Below are 13,807 nucleotides of genomic sequence, written 5' to 3'. Positions count from 1 at the left end.
GAATGGAAAGGAATGGGAAGGAATGGAATTGAATGGAGTGGAGTGGAGTGGAGTGCAATGGAATGGAATGGAATGAATTGCAGGGGATTGGAGTGGAGTGGAGTAGGTTGGAGTGGAGTGGAGTTTAATGGAATGGAATGGAGTGGAATGGAATGGAATGGTTTCGAATGGAACTAAATTGAATGGTTTGGAAAAGAACGGGAAGGAATCAAATGGAATGGAATCGCATAGAATGGAATCGAATGTAACGCAATTGAATGGAACGGAATGAAATGGAATTGAATTGAATGAAATGGAATCAAATCGAATGGAATGAAATGGCATCGAATTGAATCGAATGGAATGTGGTGGAGTGGAGTGGAACGGAGTGGAATGGAATGGGGTGTAATGGAATTGAATGGAGTGGAGTGGAGTGGAAAGCAATGGAATGGAATGGAATGGTGTGGATTGAATTGGAGTGTAGTGGAGTGTATTGGAGTGGAATGGAGAGGAATGGAGGGGAGGGGAGTGGAATGGAATGCAGTCGAGTGGGATGGAATGGAATGGAGTGGAATGGAATGGATTGGAGAGGAAAGGAATGGCATAGAATGGAATGAGGTGGAAACGAATGGAATTTAAGGGAGTGTAGTGGAGTGGAGTTGAGAGGAATGCTATGGAATGGAATGGAATGGAGTGGAGTGGAGAGGATTGGAGTGGACTGGAGTGGAATGGAGTGGAGTGGAGTAGAGAGGAGTGGAGTGGAATGACATGAAATAGAATGGAGGGCAGTGGAAAGGATTTGAAAGGAGTGGAGGGGAATGGAATTTAATTGAACGTGTTGAAGTGGAGTGGAGTGGAGTGGAATGCAATGGAATGGAATTGAATGAGGTCGAGTGGAGTGGAGTAGAGTGGAATGGAATGGAAAGGAATGGATATGAATGGAATCGAATGGGATCTATTGGAATCGAATGGAATGCAGCAAAGTGGAGTGGAGTGGAATGGAGTGGAATGTAATTTGGTGGAATGAAATTGAATGGAGTGGAGTGGAGTGGATTGGAATGCAGTGGAATGGAATGGAATGGAATAGAAAGGAATGGAGTGCAATTGAATCGAATGCAATGGAATGGAATGCAATGCAGTGCAGTGGAGTGCAGTTTAGTGGAGTGGAGTAGAATGGAGTGGAATGGAATGGAATGAAATGGAGTGGAATGGAATTGAATGGAATGGAATGGAATGGAGTCAAATCGAAATGAATCGAATGGAATGGAATCAAACGGTATGGAATGGAACGGAATGGAGTCGAAAGGCATCAAATGGAATCGAATGGAATGCGATGAAGTGGAGTGGAGTGGAGTGAAAGGCAGTGGAATGGAACTGAGTGGAGTGGAGTGGAATGGATTGAAATGGAATGGAATGGGAAGGAATGGAATTGAACGGACTGGAGTGGAAAGGAGAGGAATGCGATGAAATGGAATGGAATGGAATGTAGTAGAGGGGAGTGTAGGGGAGTGGAATGTAATGTAATTGAATGGAATGGATTCGAATGGAATGGACTGGAATTTAATGGACTGGAATGGAATGGACTCTAATGGAATGGAATCAAATGGAAAGGAAACGAACGGAATGGAATCGAATTGAATGGATTCGAATGGAATGGACTGGAATGGAATGGACTCAAATGGATGGCACACGAATAGAATGGAATTGAATGGAATGGAATGGCATGGATTCAAATGGAAGGGACTGGAATTTAATGGATTGGGATAGAATGGACTGGAATGTAATGGAATAGAATGGAATGGTTTCGAACGGAATAGAATCGAATGGAATAGATTCAAATGCAATGGAGTCGAACGGAACGGAATCGAATGGAATGGATTCGAATGGAATATACTGGATTGGAATGGACGCAAAAGTAATGCACTCGAATGGATCGGACTGGAATGGAATGGACTCGGATGGAATGCAATAGAAACGAATGGAATTGAATGGCATTGAATGGAATCGAATGGAATATGATGAAGTGGAGTGGAGTGGAGTGGAGGGAAATGCAGTGGAATGGAATGTGGTGGAATGGAATTGAATGGAGTGGAGCGGAGTGGAGTGGAATGCAATGGAATGTACTGGAATGGCGTCAATTGGACTGCAGTGTAGTGGATTGTAGTGGAGGGGAAAGGAGTGGAAAGGAGTGGAGTGAAGTGGAGTGGAATGGAATGCAGTCGAGTGGAATGGAATGGAATGGAATGGAGTGGAAAGGAATGGAATGGAATTGAATGGAATGGAATGGAAAGGAAGGGAATGGAGTGGAGTGTAGTGGACTGGAGTGGAGTGGAGTTGAATGGAGTTGAGTGTAGTGGAGTGGAATGGAGTGGTTTGGAGTGGAATGGAATGGAATGGCATGGACTCAAATGGAAAAGACTCAAATGGAATGGACTGGAATATAGTGTACATTAATTGAATGGACTCGAATGGAATGGACTCGAATGGAATGTATTGGAATGGAATGGACTCAAATGGAGTGGAATCGGATGGAATAGAATCGAATGGAAAGGAATCGAATGGAATGGAATCGAATGGAATGGAATCAAATGTAATAGAATCGAATGGCCACGAATGGCATCGAATGGGACCAAATAGAATGTGGTGAGGTGGAGTGGAGTGGAGTGGAATTGAGTGGAATGGAATCATGTGGAACGCAACTGAATGTAGTAGCTTGGATTCTAGTGGAGTGGAGTAGAATGTAATGGAATGGGAAGGCGTGGAAGTGAACGGAATGGAGTGGAGTGGAATGGAGTGGAATGGACTGCAATGGAATGGAATGGAATGGAATGAAGTGGAGTGGAATGGAATGGAACCGAAAGGAATGGAAGGGAATGGAATGCTATGGAATGGAGTGTAGTGGAGTGGAATGGAGTGTAATGGAATGGAGTGGAATGGAATGGAATGAAGAGGAGTGGACTGGATTGGAATGCACTAGAATGGAATAAAATGGAATGGACTCGAATAGAATGGGCTTGGATGAAACGAAGTGTGATGTAATGGAGTGGAATGGAATGGGCTGGAAAGGAATGGACTCGAATGGAATGGAATCGAACGCAATGAAAAAGAGTGGAATGGAATCTAACGCAATGTAATCAAAAGGCATCGAATGGAATCAAATGGACTTAGTGAACTGGAGTTAATTGGAGTGGAAGGGAGTGGAATGGAATGGGGTGGAAAGGAATTTAATGGAGTGAAGTGAAGTGGAGTGGAATGGAGTGGAACGGAATGGAATGGAAAGGAATGGAATTGATTGGAGTAGAGATGAGTGGAGTGGGGTGGAGACGAATGCACTGGAATGGAATGGAAAGGAATGGAGTGGAGTGGAGTGGGGTGGAACCGAGTGGAATGGAATGGAATGGAAAAGAATGGCATGGAATGGATTGAAATGGAATAGACTGGAATGGAATGGAGTCTAATCGAATGGACTCGAATGGCACGTAATCCAATTGAGTGGACTCGAAAGGAATGGACTCAAAAGGAATGGACTCGAATGTAATGGTCTCGAATTGAATGGAAACCTAGAGATTGGAATCGAATGGAAAAGCATCCAATGGAATGGAATCGAATGGAATGGAATCTAACGGACTGGAATCAAACGCAATGGAATTGAATGTAATGGAATCTAAAGGAATGGAATCGAGTGGAATGGAATCGAATGGAAAGTAATCAAATGGCATGGAATGAAATCGAATGGAATATGGTCAAATGAAGTGGAGTAGAGTGGAATGGAATGGTGTTCAGTGGAACTGAAGGGAGTGGAGTGGAGTTGAATGTAGTGGAAAGGAATGTAATGGGAAGGAAAGGAAGTGAACAGAGTGGAGTGGAGTGGAATGCAATGGAATGGAATGGAATGGATTGGAGTGGACTTGAGTTGAGTGGAGTGGAGTGGATCAGATTGGAATGGAATGGAGTGGAATGGAGTAGAGCAGAATAAAATGCAATGGAATGCAATGCAAAGTAATGGAATGGAGTGGAATGGAGTGGACTGGAGTGGAGTGGAGTGGAATGGAATGGAGTCGAGTGGAATGGAATGGAATGCAGTGGATTGGAATGGAAGGGAATGGAATGGAATGGAATGGAATATAATGGAATGGAATGGAATTTAATGGAGTGGAGTGGAATAGAATGGAATGGAGTGGATTGGAATGGAATGGGTTGGAAAGGAATGGAATGGAATGGAGTGCAGAAAAGTGGAGTGCAGAGGAGTGCAGGGAGTGTTATGGAGTGGAATTGAATGGAATGGAATGGAATGGAATGGAATGGAATGGAATGGAATGGACACGAATACAATGGACTTGAACGGAATGGACTCGAATGCAATGGACCCGAATAGAAAGGAATTGAATGGAATGGAATCAAAAGGAATGTAATCGAATGGCATTTAATATAATCGAATGGAATGTGGTGAAGTGGAGTGGAGTGGACTGGGATGGAGTGGAATGGAATGGGGTGGAATTGTATTGAATGGAGTGGAGTGCAGTGGAAAGGAATGGAGTGGAATGGAACGGAACGGGAGGGAATGGAATCGGAAGGAAGAGAATGGAATGGAGTGGAATGGAGTGGAGTGGAATGCAACGGAATGGAATGGAATGGATTGGAGTGGAGTTGTGTGGAGTGGAATGGAATGGAGCGGAATGGAATACAATGGAATGGAAATAAAAGCAGTGGAGTGGAGTGGAGCGGAATGGAGTGGAATGGAATGGAATTGAATGGGAAGGAATGGAATTGAATGGAGTGGAGGGCAATGGAATGGAATGGAATGAAGTGGAGGGGCTTGGAGTGGAGTGCAATGGAATGGAGAGGAGTGGAGTAGATTGCATTTTAGTGGAGCGGAGTTTAATGGAATGGAATGGAGTGGAATGGAATGGAATGGTTTTGAATGGAACTTAATCGAATGGTATGGAATCAAATGGGATGTAATCAAATACAAGGGAATAGAATGGAATGTAATCGAATGTAATGTAATCGAATGGAATGGAATCAAATGGAATTGAATTAAATGAAATGGAATCAAATGAAATGGACACGAAAGGAATGGAATGGAATGGAATGGACGTGAATGGAATGGACTAGAATGGATTGGACTGGAATGGAATGGACTCGGATTCAATGGAATAGAATGGAATGGAATCGAATGGCATTGAATGGAATCGAATGGAATGCGGTGAAGTTGAGTGGAGTGGAGTGAAATGCAATGGAATGGAATGGGATAGAATGGTATTGAATGGAGTGGAGAGGAGTGGAGTGGAAAGCAATGGAATGGAATGGAATGGCATGGATTGGATTGGAGGGTAGTGGACTGTAGTGGAGTGGAATGGAGTGGAATGGATTGGAGTGGAAAGGAGTGGAGAGGACTGGAGTGGAATGGAGTGGAGAAGAGTGGAGAGGAGTGGAGTTGAATGACATTAAATGGAATGGAGTTGAGTGGAATCGATTGGAATAGAGTAGAGGAGAGTGTAATGGAGTGCAATGTAATGGAATGGAATGGAATGGAATTTAACGGAGTGAAGTGGAGTGGAGTGGAATGCAATGGAATGGAATTGAATGGAGTGGAGTGGAGTCGAATGGAATGCAATGGAATGGAATGGAATGGAATGGAATCTAATGGAATGGATTTGAATGGAATGGAATCAAATGGAAGGGAATGGGATGGAATTAATAGAATGGAATGGATTTGAAAGGAACGGAATTGAATGGGATCAAATGGAATCGAATGGAATGTGGTGAAGTGGAGTGGAGTGGAATTGAGTGTAATGGAATTTGGCGGAATGCAATTGAATGGAGTGGAGTGGTTTTGAATGGACAGGAAAGGAATGGAATGGGAATGAATGTAATTGAATGGAGTGGAGGCGAGTGGAGCGGAATGCAAAAGAATGGAATGGAATGGAGTGTAGGGGAGTGGAGTAAATTCTAGTGGAGTGGAGAGGAATGGAGTGGAATGGTATGGAATGGAAAGGAATGGAGTGCAATTGAATCGAATGGAATGGAATGGAATGGAATGCAGTGGAGTAGAGTGGAGTGGACTGCAGTTAAATGGAATGGAATGGAATGGAATGCAGTGGAGTAGAGTGGAGTGGACAGCAGTTAAATGGAATGGAATGGAATGGAATGGAATGGAATGGAATGGAATGGAGTGTAGGGAATTGGAATGCAATGGAATGGAATGGAAAGGAATGGAATGGATTCCAATGGAATGGAATGGACTGTAATGGAATCGACTGGAATGGAATGGATTCGAATGGAAAGAAATCAAATGGAATGGAAACGAATGGAATGGATTCGAGTGGAATGGACTGGTATGGAATGGACTAGAATGGACTGGACACGAATGGAATGGAATTGAATGTAATGGAATGGAATGGAAAGGTTATGGAATGGAATGAATTAGAATGGATTGGACTGGAATTTAATGGACTGGAATGGAATGGAGTGGAGTGTAATGGACTCGAATGGAATGGAATTGAATGGAATGGATTCGAGCAGAATGGAATTGAATGGAATGGATTCGAAAGGAATGGAATCAAATGGAATGGAATCGAATTGAATGGATACCAATGGAATTGACTGGAATGGAAGGGATGCAAAATGGAATGGACTCGAATGGATTTGACTGGAATGGAATGGAATCGTATGGAATGGAATTGAATGCAATGGAATCGAATGGCATCAAATGGAATCGAATGGAATGCGGTGAAGTGGAGTGGAGTGAAATGCAGTGGAATGGAATGGGGTGGAATGGAATTGAATTGAGTGGGGCAGAGTGGAGTGGAATGGAGTGGAATTGAATGGAGGGGAAGGAATGGAATTGAACAGACTTGAGTGGAGAGGAGTGGATTGGAATGCAATAGAATGAAATGGAATGGAATGGAGTGGAGTGGAGTGGATTGGAGTGGAATTAAATAGAATGGAATGGAATGGAATGGAATGGAATGGAATGGAATGAACTCAAACGGAATGGACTGCAAGGGAATGGACTGGAATGGAATGGACCCGAATGGAATGGACTGGAATGGAATGGACTCAAAAGGAATGAACTCGAATGTAATGGAGTAGAATGGAAAGGAATCGTACTGAATGGAATCGAATGGAATGGAATCAAATGAAATAATATGGAAAGGCGTCGAATGGAATCCAGTGTTATGCAGTGAAGTGGAGTGGAGAGGAGTGTAATTGAGTGGATTGGAATGGGGTGGAATGGAAAGGAATGCAGTGGAGTGCACTGGAGTGCAATAGAGTGGGATGGAATGGAATGGGAAGGAATGGAATTGAACTGAGTGGAGTTGAGTGGAGCGGAGAGGAGTGGAATGCAAAGGAATGGTAAGGAGTGCAAAGGAATGGAATGGAATGGACTGGAATGGAAAGGACTCGAATGGAACGGAATTGAATGGAATGGACGCGAATGGTATGGACTCGAATGCAATGTAATCAAACGGAGTGGAATCAAATGGCACTGAATTGAATAAAATGGAATCAAATGGAAAGGAATCGGAAGGCAACGAGTGGAAGGGAATGGAATGTGGTTAATTGGAGTGCAATGAATTGGAATGCAGTGGAATGGAATGAGGTGGAATGGAATTGATTGGAGTGGAGTGGAGTGGAGCAGAATGCAATGGAATGGAATGGACCAGCATGGATTGGAGTTGAGTGGAGTAGAGTGGAGTGGAGAGTAGTGGAATGGAGTGTAGTGTAGTGGAGTGGAGTGGAGTAGAGTGGAGTGGAATGGAATGCACAGGAAAGGAATGGACTAGAATGGAACGGACATCAATGGAATGGACTCGAATGGAATGGACTCGAATGCAATGGAATCAAATGGAATGGAATAGAATGGAACGGAATTGAATGAAATGGAATCAAATGGAAAGGAATCAAATGGCATCAAACAGAATGGAATGGAATGTGGTTAATTGGAGTGCAGTGCATTGGAATGGAATGGTGTGCAATGGAATTGAATGGAGTGGAGTGGAGTGGAGCAGAATGCAATGGAATGGAAGGGAACAGCATGGATTGGAGTTGAGTGTAGTAGAGTGGAGTGGAGTGGAAGGGAGTGGAGTGGAGTGGAGTGGAGTGGAGTGGAAAGGAATGGAGTCTAGTGGAATGTAATGGAATAGAATGGAATGGAATGTAGTGGAATGGAATGGAATGGAGTTGAAATAAATGGAATGGAATGCAATGGAATGGAATGGAATGGAATGGATTGGAATGGGATGGAATGGAAAGGAGTGGAATGGAATGTAACGTAGTGGAATGGAAAGTATTGGAGGGGAATGGAATGGAGTGGAAAGGAATGGAATTTAACAGAGTGGAGTGGAGTGTAGGGGAGTGGAGTGGAATGCTATGGAATGTAATGGAATGGAGTGGAGTGGAAAGCAGTGAATTGGAGTGGAGTGGAATGGAGTGGAATGGAGTGGAGTGGAATGGGATGAAATGGAATATGGTGGAGTGGAGTGGAATGGGATGAATTGGAATATGGTGGGTGGAATGGAATGGAATGGAGTGGATGGGAGTGGAATGGAGTGGAATGGAATGGTATGGAATTGAACGGAGTGGAGTGGAAGGCAATGGAATGGAATTGAATGGAGAAGACTGGAGTGTAGTGGAGGGGAGTGGAATGGAATCGAGTAGAATGGACTGGAATGGAATGGACACGAATAGAATGGACTTGAGTGGAATGGAATCGAAAGGAATGAAATTGAATGGAATGGAATTGAATGGAATTGATGTGAAACGAAAAGAACAGAAGGGAATCGAATGGAATTCAATGGAATGCGGTAAAGTGGCGTAGAATGGAGTGGAATGCAGTGGAATGGAAAGGAATGGGAAGGAATGGAATTGAAGGGAGTGGAGTGGAATGCAGTGGAATGGAGTGGAATGGAATGAGGTGGAATGGAATTGAACTGAGTGGAGTGGAGAGGAATGAAATGGAATGGAATGGAATGGTGTGGATTGGATTGGAGTGCAGTGGATTGTAGTGGAGTAGAGTGGAATGGAGTGCAGTGGAGTGGAGTGGAGTGGAATGGAATGGTGTCGAGTGGTATGAAATGAAATGGAATGGAATGGAATGCAGTGGAATGGAGTGGAATGCAGTGGAAAGGAATTGAATGGAATGGAATGGAGTGGAGTGGAGTGGAATCTTATGGAATGGAATGGAATGGAGTGGAGTGGAATGGAATGGAGTGGATTCGAATGGAATGGAATGGAATGGAGATGAGTGGAATGGAATGGAATTGAGGGGAATGGAATAGGGTTGACAGGATTGGAATTTAACGGAGTGGTGTGGAGTGGAGTGGAATGCTATGGAATATAATGGAATGGAGTCGAGTGGAAAGGAGTAAAGTGGAGTGGAGTGGAATGGATTGTAGTGGAGTGGAGTGGAATGGAATGAAATAGAATGTGGTGGAGTGGAATGGAATGGAATGAGTAAACGGGAGTAGAATTGAGTGGAATGGAATGGAATGGAAAAAAATTAAACGCAGTGGAGTGGAGTGGAGAGGAATTCAATGGAATGGAATTGAATGGAGAGGAGTGCAGGGAAGTGGAGTGGAACAGAATGGAATAGAATGGACTGGAATGGAATGGACACGAATGGAATGGACTTGAGTGGAATAGAATCGAATGGAATGGAATTGAATCGAATGGAATTGAATGGAATCATTTGAAAGGAATGGAATCGAAGGGAATCGAATGCAATTCAATGGAATACAGTGAAGTGGCGTGGAGTGGAGTGGAGTGGAATGAAGTGGAATGGAATAGAGTGGGAAGGAATGGAATTGAATGGAGTGTTGTGTAATGGATTGGAATGGAGTGGAATGGAATCGGGTGGAATGGAATTGAATTGAATGGATGGGAGAGGAACGCAATGGAATGGATTGGAATGGCATGGATTGGATTGGAGTGTAGTGGACTGTACAGGAGTGAAGTGGAGTGTAGGGGAGTGGAATTGAATGGTGTCAAGTGGAATGTAATAAAATGGAATGTAAAGAAATGGAGTGGAATGGAGTGGAATGGAGTGCAAAGAAATTAAATGGAATGGAATGTAAGGGATAGGAAAGGAATTGAATGGAGTGGATTGGAATGGAATGGAGTGAGTGGAATGGAATGGAATGGAGGGGAATGGAATGTGGTTGACAGGAGAGGAATTTAACTGATTGGAGTGGAGAGGAGTTGAATGCTATAGAATGGAATGGAATGGAGTGGAGTGGTGTGTAGTGCAGTGGAGTGGAATGGAGTGAGGTGGAGTGGAGAGGAGTGGAGTGGAATTGAATGAAATGGAATGGAGTGGAGTGGAAAGGACTGGAATGTAGTGGAGGGGAGTGGAATGGAGTGTATTGTAATGGAATGGAATGGAATGGAACTTAATGTAGTGGAGTGGAGAGGAGTGGAATGGAATGCAATGGAATGGAATTGAATGGTGTGGAGTGGAGTGGAGTGGGGTGGGGTGGTGTGGAGTGGAATGGAATGGAATGGTATGGAATGGACACGAATGGAATGGACTGGAATGGAATAGAATCAAATGAAATGGAATCAAATTGAATTAATTGAATAGAATGGATTCGAAAGGAATGGAATCGAATGGCATCGAATGGAATTGAATGGAATGTGGAGAAGTGGAGTGGAGTGGAATGGAGTGGAATGGAATTTGGTGGAATGCAATTGAATGGAGTGGATTGGAGTGGGGTGGAATGGAGTGGTATGGAATGGAATGGGAATGAATGGAATTGATTGGAGTGGAGTGGAGTGGATTGGAGTGGAATGCAAAGGAATGGAATGGAGTGGAGTGGAGTGGAGTAAACTGTAGTGGAGTGGAGTAGAAAGGAATGGAATAAAATGGACTAGAATGAAATGGACACGAATAGAATGGACTTAAGTGGAATGTAATCGAATGGAATGGAATAGAAAGGAATGGAAATTAATGGAATGGATTTGAAAGGAATGGGAACGAATGGAATCTAATGGAATTAAATGGAATGCAGTGAAGTGGCATAGAGTGGCTGCAATGTCATGGAATGGAATGGAATGGAATGGGAATGAATTGAATTGAATGGAGTGGAGTGGAATGTAGTGGAATGGAATGGGGTGGAATGGAATTGAATTGAATGTAGTGGAGTGGAATGCAATGGAATGGAATGGAAGGACATGGATTGGATTGGAGTGTAGTGGATTGTAGTGGAGTGGAGTGGAGAAGAATGGAGTGGAGTTGAGTGGAGTGGAATGGAATGGTGTCGAGTGGAATGGAATGGAAAAGATTGGAGTGGAATGGAGTGGAATGGATTGGAATGAAATTTTTTGGAATGCAATTGAATCGAGTGGATTGCAGTGCAGTCGAATGGAGTGGAATGGAATGGAATGGGAATGAATGGAATTGAATGTAGTGGAGTGGAGTGGAATGCAAAGGAATGGAATGTAGTGGAGTGGAGTGGAGAGGAGTAAACTGTAGTGCAGTGGTGAGGAATGGAGAGGAATGGAATGAAATGGAATGGAATGGAATGGAATGGAATGGAATGGAATGGAATGGAATGGAGAGCAATTGAATCAAATGCAATGTGATGGAAAGCAATGCAGTGGAGTGGAGAGGAGTGGAGTGGAGTGCAGTAGAATGGAGTGGAGTGGAATAGAATGGAATGGAATAGAATGGAATGGAATGGAAGAGAGTGGAATGGAATGGACTTGAATTGATTGGACTCAAATGGATTTGAATGGAATGGAATGGAATCGAATCGAATGGGATGGAATTGAAAGGTATGGAATCGAATGGAATTGAGTTGGAATGGAATGGAATTGAAAGGCATCAAATGTAATCGAATGGAATGGAATCGAATGGCCTCGAATGGAAGCAAATGGAATGTGATGAAGTGGAGTGGAGAGTTGTGGAATGGAGTGTGATGGAATGGGTTAGAATGGAATTGAATATACTGGAATGGAGTGTAGTGGAATGGAGTGGGATGGAATGGAATGGGAAGGAATGGAATTGAACGGAGTGCAGTGGAGTGCAGTGGAGTGGAGTTGAAGGCAATGAAATGGAATAGAATGGGGTAGAGTGGAGTAGAGCAGAGTGGACTGGCGTGGAATGGAGTGAAGTGGAGTAGCGTGGAGTGGAATTGAGTGGAGAGGAGTCGAGTGGAGTGGAATGGAATTGAATGAAATGGAATTGAGTGGAATGGAATGGAATATAATGGAATGGAATGCAATGGAATGGGAAGGAATGGAATTGAACGGAATGGAGTGGAGTGGAATGGAATGGAATGGATGGAATGGAATTCAATGGAGTGGAGTGGAGTGAAGTGCATTGGAGTGCAATTGAATGCAATGGATTGTAGTGGAGTACAGTTGAGAGGAGTGTATTGGAATGCCCAGGACTGGAATATAATGGAGTGGAGTGGAGTGGAGTGGAATGGAGTCGAGTATAGAGTCGTGGAGTGGAGTGTAATGGAATGGAGTGGAGTGGGATGGAAATGACTCAAGTGGAGTGGAGTGGAGTGGAATGGAGTGGAATCGAATGGAATGGAAAGGAGGGGCGTGGAATAGAGTGGAGTGGAGTGGAGTAGAATGGAATAGAGTGGAATGGAATGGAATGGAGGGGAGTGGAGTGGAGGGGAATGTAGTGGAGTGGAGTGGTGTGGAGTTGAGTGGAGTGGAGAAGAATGGAGTTGAATGGAGCAGAATGGAATGGAATGGAGTGGAGTGGTGTGGAGTTTAATGGAATGCATTGGAGTGGAATGGAATGGAGTAGAATGGAATGGAATGGAATGGACACGAATTGGATGGACTTGAATGGAATGAACTGGAATGGGATGTCCTCGAATGGAATGGAGTCGAATAGAATGCACTTGAATGGAATGGACTCGAACAGAATGGAATCGAATGGAATGTAATTGAATGGAGTGTAATCAAACAGAATGGAATCGGATGGAATGGTAGTGGATGGAATGGAATGGAATGGAATGGAATAGAATGGAATCGAATGGCATTGAATGGAATGTGGTGAAGTGGAGTGTAGTGGATTGGAGTGCAGTGGATTGGAATGGAAAGTGATGGAATGGAATTAAATGGACTGAAGTGGAGTGGAATGGAATGGGAAGGAATGGAATTAAATGCAGTGGAGTGCAGTGGATTGGAATGCAATGGAATGGTATGGAATGGAGTGGAGTCGAGTGGAGGGGAGTGGAGTGGATTGAAGTGAAGTGTAATGCATGTGAATGGAATAGAATGGAGTGGAAAGAAATGCAGTGGAATCGAATGCAGTGTAATGGAATGTAGTGGTGGTGGAATAGAATAGAATAGAATGGAATGGAGTAGAGTGAAATGAAGTGGAATGCATTGGAGTGGAATAGAATGGAGTGGAGTGAAGTGGAGTGGATGGAATGGAGTGGGGTGAAGTGGAATGGAATGGAATGGAATGGAATGGAATGGAATGGAATGGAATGACTCAGATGGAATGGAATCGAATGAAATGAACTGGAATGGAATGGACTCAAAGGGAATGGAGTGGAATCGAATGGAATGGGATCAAATGGAATGGAAATGAATGGAATTAAAACCAACAGAATGGAACAGCATGGCATCGACTGGATTCGAATGGTAAATGGTGAAGGGGAGTGGGGTGGAGTGGACTGGAACAGAGTTGAATGGGGTTGAAAGAAATTTATTGGAGTGGAGTGCAGTGGAGTGGAGTGGAGTGGAATGGAATGCAATGAAAAGGAATGATATTGAACAGAGTGGAGTGGAGTGGAGTGGAATGCAATGGAAAGGAAAGGAATGGATTGGAGTGGAGTGGAGTGGAATGCAATGT

At 43.7% G+C, this 13,807-nt stretch overlaps 11 annotated features.

Annotated features, from left to right (window-relative positions):
* Positions 4,651-5,502: an enhancer, noted in NCBI's record as "OCT4-NANOG hESC enhancer chr21:10785765-10786616 (GRCh37/hg19 assembly coordinates)". NCBI's record gives its function as "activates a minimal SCP1, AML or CMV promoter by ChIP-STARR-seq in naive H9 embryonic stem cells {active_cell/tissue: H9 hESC(naive)}" and the evidence as "EXISTENCE:reporter gene assay evidence [ECO:0000049][PMID:30033119]".
* Positions 7,579-8,437: an enhancer, noted in NCBI's record as "OCT4-NANOG hESC enhancer chr21:10788693-10789551 (GRCh37/hg19 assembly coordinates)". NCBI's record gives its function as "activates a minimal SCP1, AML or CMV promoter by ChIP-STARR-seq in naive H9 embryonic stem cells {active_cell/tissue: H9 hESC(naive)}" and the evidence as "EXISTENCE:reporter gene assay evidence [ECO:0000049][PMID:30033119]".
* Positions 8,514-9,357: an enhancer, noted in NCBI's record as "OCT4-NANOG hESC enhancer chr21:10789628-10790471 (GRCh37/hg19 assembly coordinates)". NCBI's record gives its function as "activates a minimal SCP1, AML or CMV promoter by ChIP-STARR-seq in naive H9 embryonic stem cells {active_cell/tissue: H9 hESC(naive)}" and the evidence as "EXISTENCE:reporter gene assay evidence [ECO:0000049][PMID:30033119]".
* Positions 9,368-9,952: an enhancer, noted in NCBI's record as "OCT4-NANOG hESC enhancer chr21:10790482-10791066 (GRCh37/hg19 assembly coordinates)". NCBI's record gives its function as "activates a minimal SCP1, AML or CMV promoter by ChIP-STARR-seq in primed H9 embryonic stem cells {active_cell/tissue: H9 hESC(primed)}" and the evidence as "EXISTENCE:reporter gene assay evidence [ECO:0000049][PMID:30033119]".
* Positions 9,999-10,942: an enhancer, noted in NCBI's record as "OCT4-NANOG hESC enhancer chr21:10791113-10792056 (GRCh37/hg19 assembly coordinates)". NCBI's record gives its function as "activates a minimal SCP1, AML or CMV promoter by ChIP-STARR-seq in naive H9 embryonic stem cells {active_cell/tissue: H9 hESC(naive)}" and the evidence as "EXISTENCE:reporter gene assay evidence [ECO:0000049][PMID:30033119]".
* Positions 10,943-11,884: an enhancer, noted in NCBI's record as "OCT4-NANOG hESC enhancer chr21:10792057-10792998 (GRCh37/hg19 assembly coordinates)". NCBI's record gives its function as "activates a minimal SCP1, AML or CMV promoter by ChIP-STARR-seq in naive H9 embryonic stem cells {active_cell/tissue: H9 hESC(naive)}" and the evidence as "EXISTENCE:reporter gene assay evidence [ECO:0000049][PMID:30033119]".
* Positions 11,927-12,447: an enhancer, noted in NCBI's record as "OCT4-NANOG hESC enhancer chr21:10793041-10793561 (GRCh37/hg19 assembly coordinates)". NCBI's record gives its function as "activates a minimal SCP1, AML or CMV promoter by ChIP-STARR-seq in naive H9 embryonic stem cells {active_cell/tissue: H9 hESC(naive)}" and the evidence as "EXISTENCE:reporter gene assay evidence [ECO:0000049][PMID:30033119]".
* Positions 11,927-12,967: a biological region, named in NCBI's record as "OCT4-NANOG hESC enhancers GRCh37_chr21:10793041-10793561 and GRCh37_chr21:10793562-10794081".
* Positions 12,355-12,649: a silencer, noted in NCBI's record as "tiled region #9778; K562 Repressive non-DNase unmatched - State 24:Quies". NCBI's record gives its function as "represses a minimal TATA promoter and a strong SV40 promoter by Sharpr-MPRA in K562 cells {active_cell/tissue: K562}" and the evidence as "EXISTENCE:reporter gene assay evidence [ECO:0000049][PMID:27701403]".
* Positions 12,448-12,967: an enhancer, noted in NCBI's record as "OCT4-NANOG hESC enhancer chr21:10793562-10794081 (GRCh37/hg19 assembly coordinates)". NCBI's record gives its function as "activates a minimal SCP1, AML or CMV promoter by ChIP-STARR-seq in naive and primed H9 embryonic stem cells {active_cell/tissue: H9 hESC(naive and primed)}" and the evidence as "EXISTENCE:reporter gene assay evidence [ECO:0000049][PMID:30033119]".
* Positions 13,104-13,745: an enhancer, noted in NCBI's record as "OCT4-NANOG hESC enhancer chr21:10794218-10794859 (GRCh37/hg19 assembly coordinates)". NCBI's record gives its function as "activates a minimal SCP1, AML or CMV promoter by ChIP-STARR-seq in primed H9 embryonic stem cells {active_cell/tissue: H9 hESC(primed)}" and the evidence as "EXISTENCE:reporter gene assay evidence [ECO:0000049][PMID:30033119]".

Source organism: Homo sapiens, chromosome 21 (genome assembly GCF_000001405.40).
Source record: "Homo sapiens chromosome 21, GRCh38.p14 Primary Assembly".
Taxonomy (NCBI): domain Eukaryota; kingdom Metazoa; phylum Chordata; class Mammalia; order Primates; family Hominidae; genus Homo; species Homo sapiens.
The sequence above is the reverse complement of the archived record's forward strand: the minus strand, read 5'-3'. Positions and strand labels throughout refer to the sequence as shown.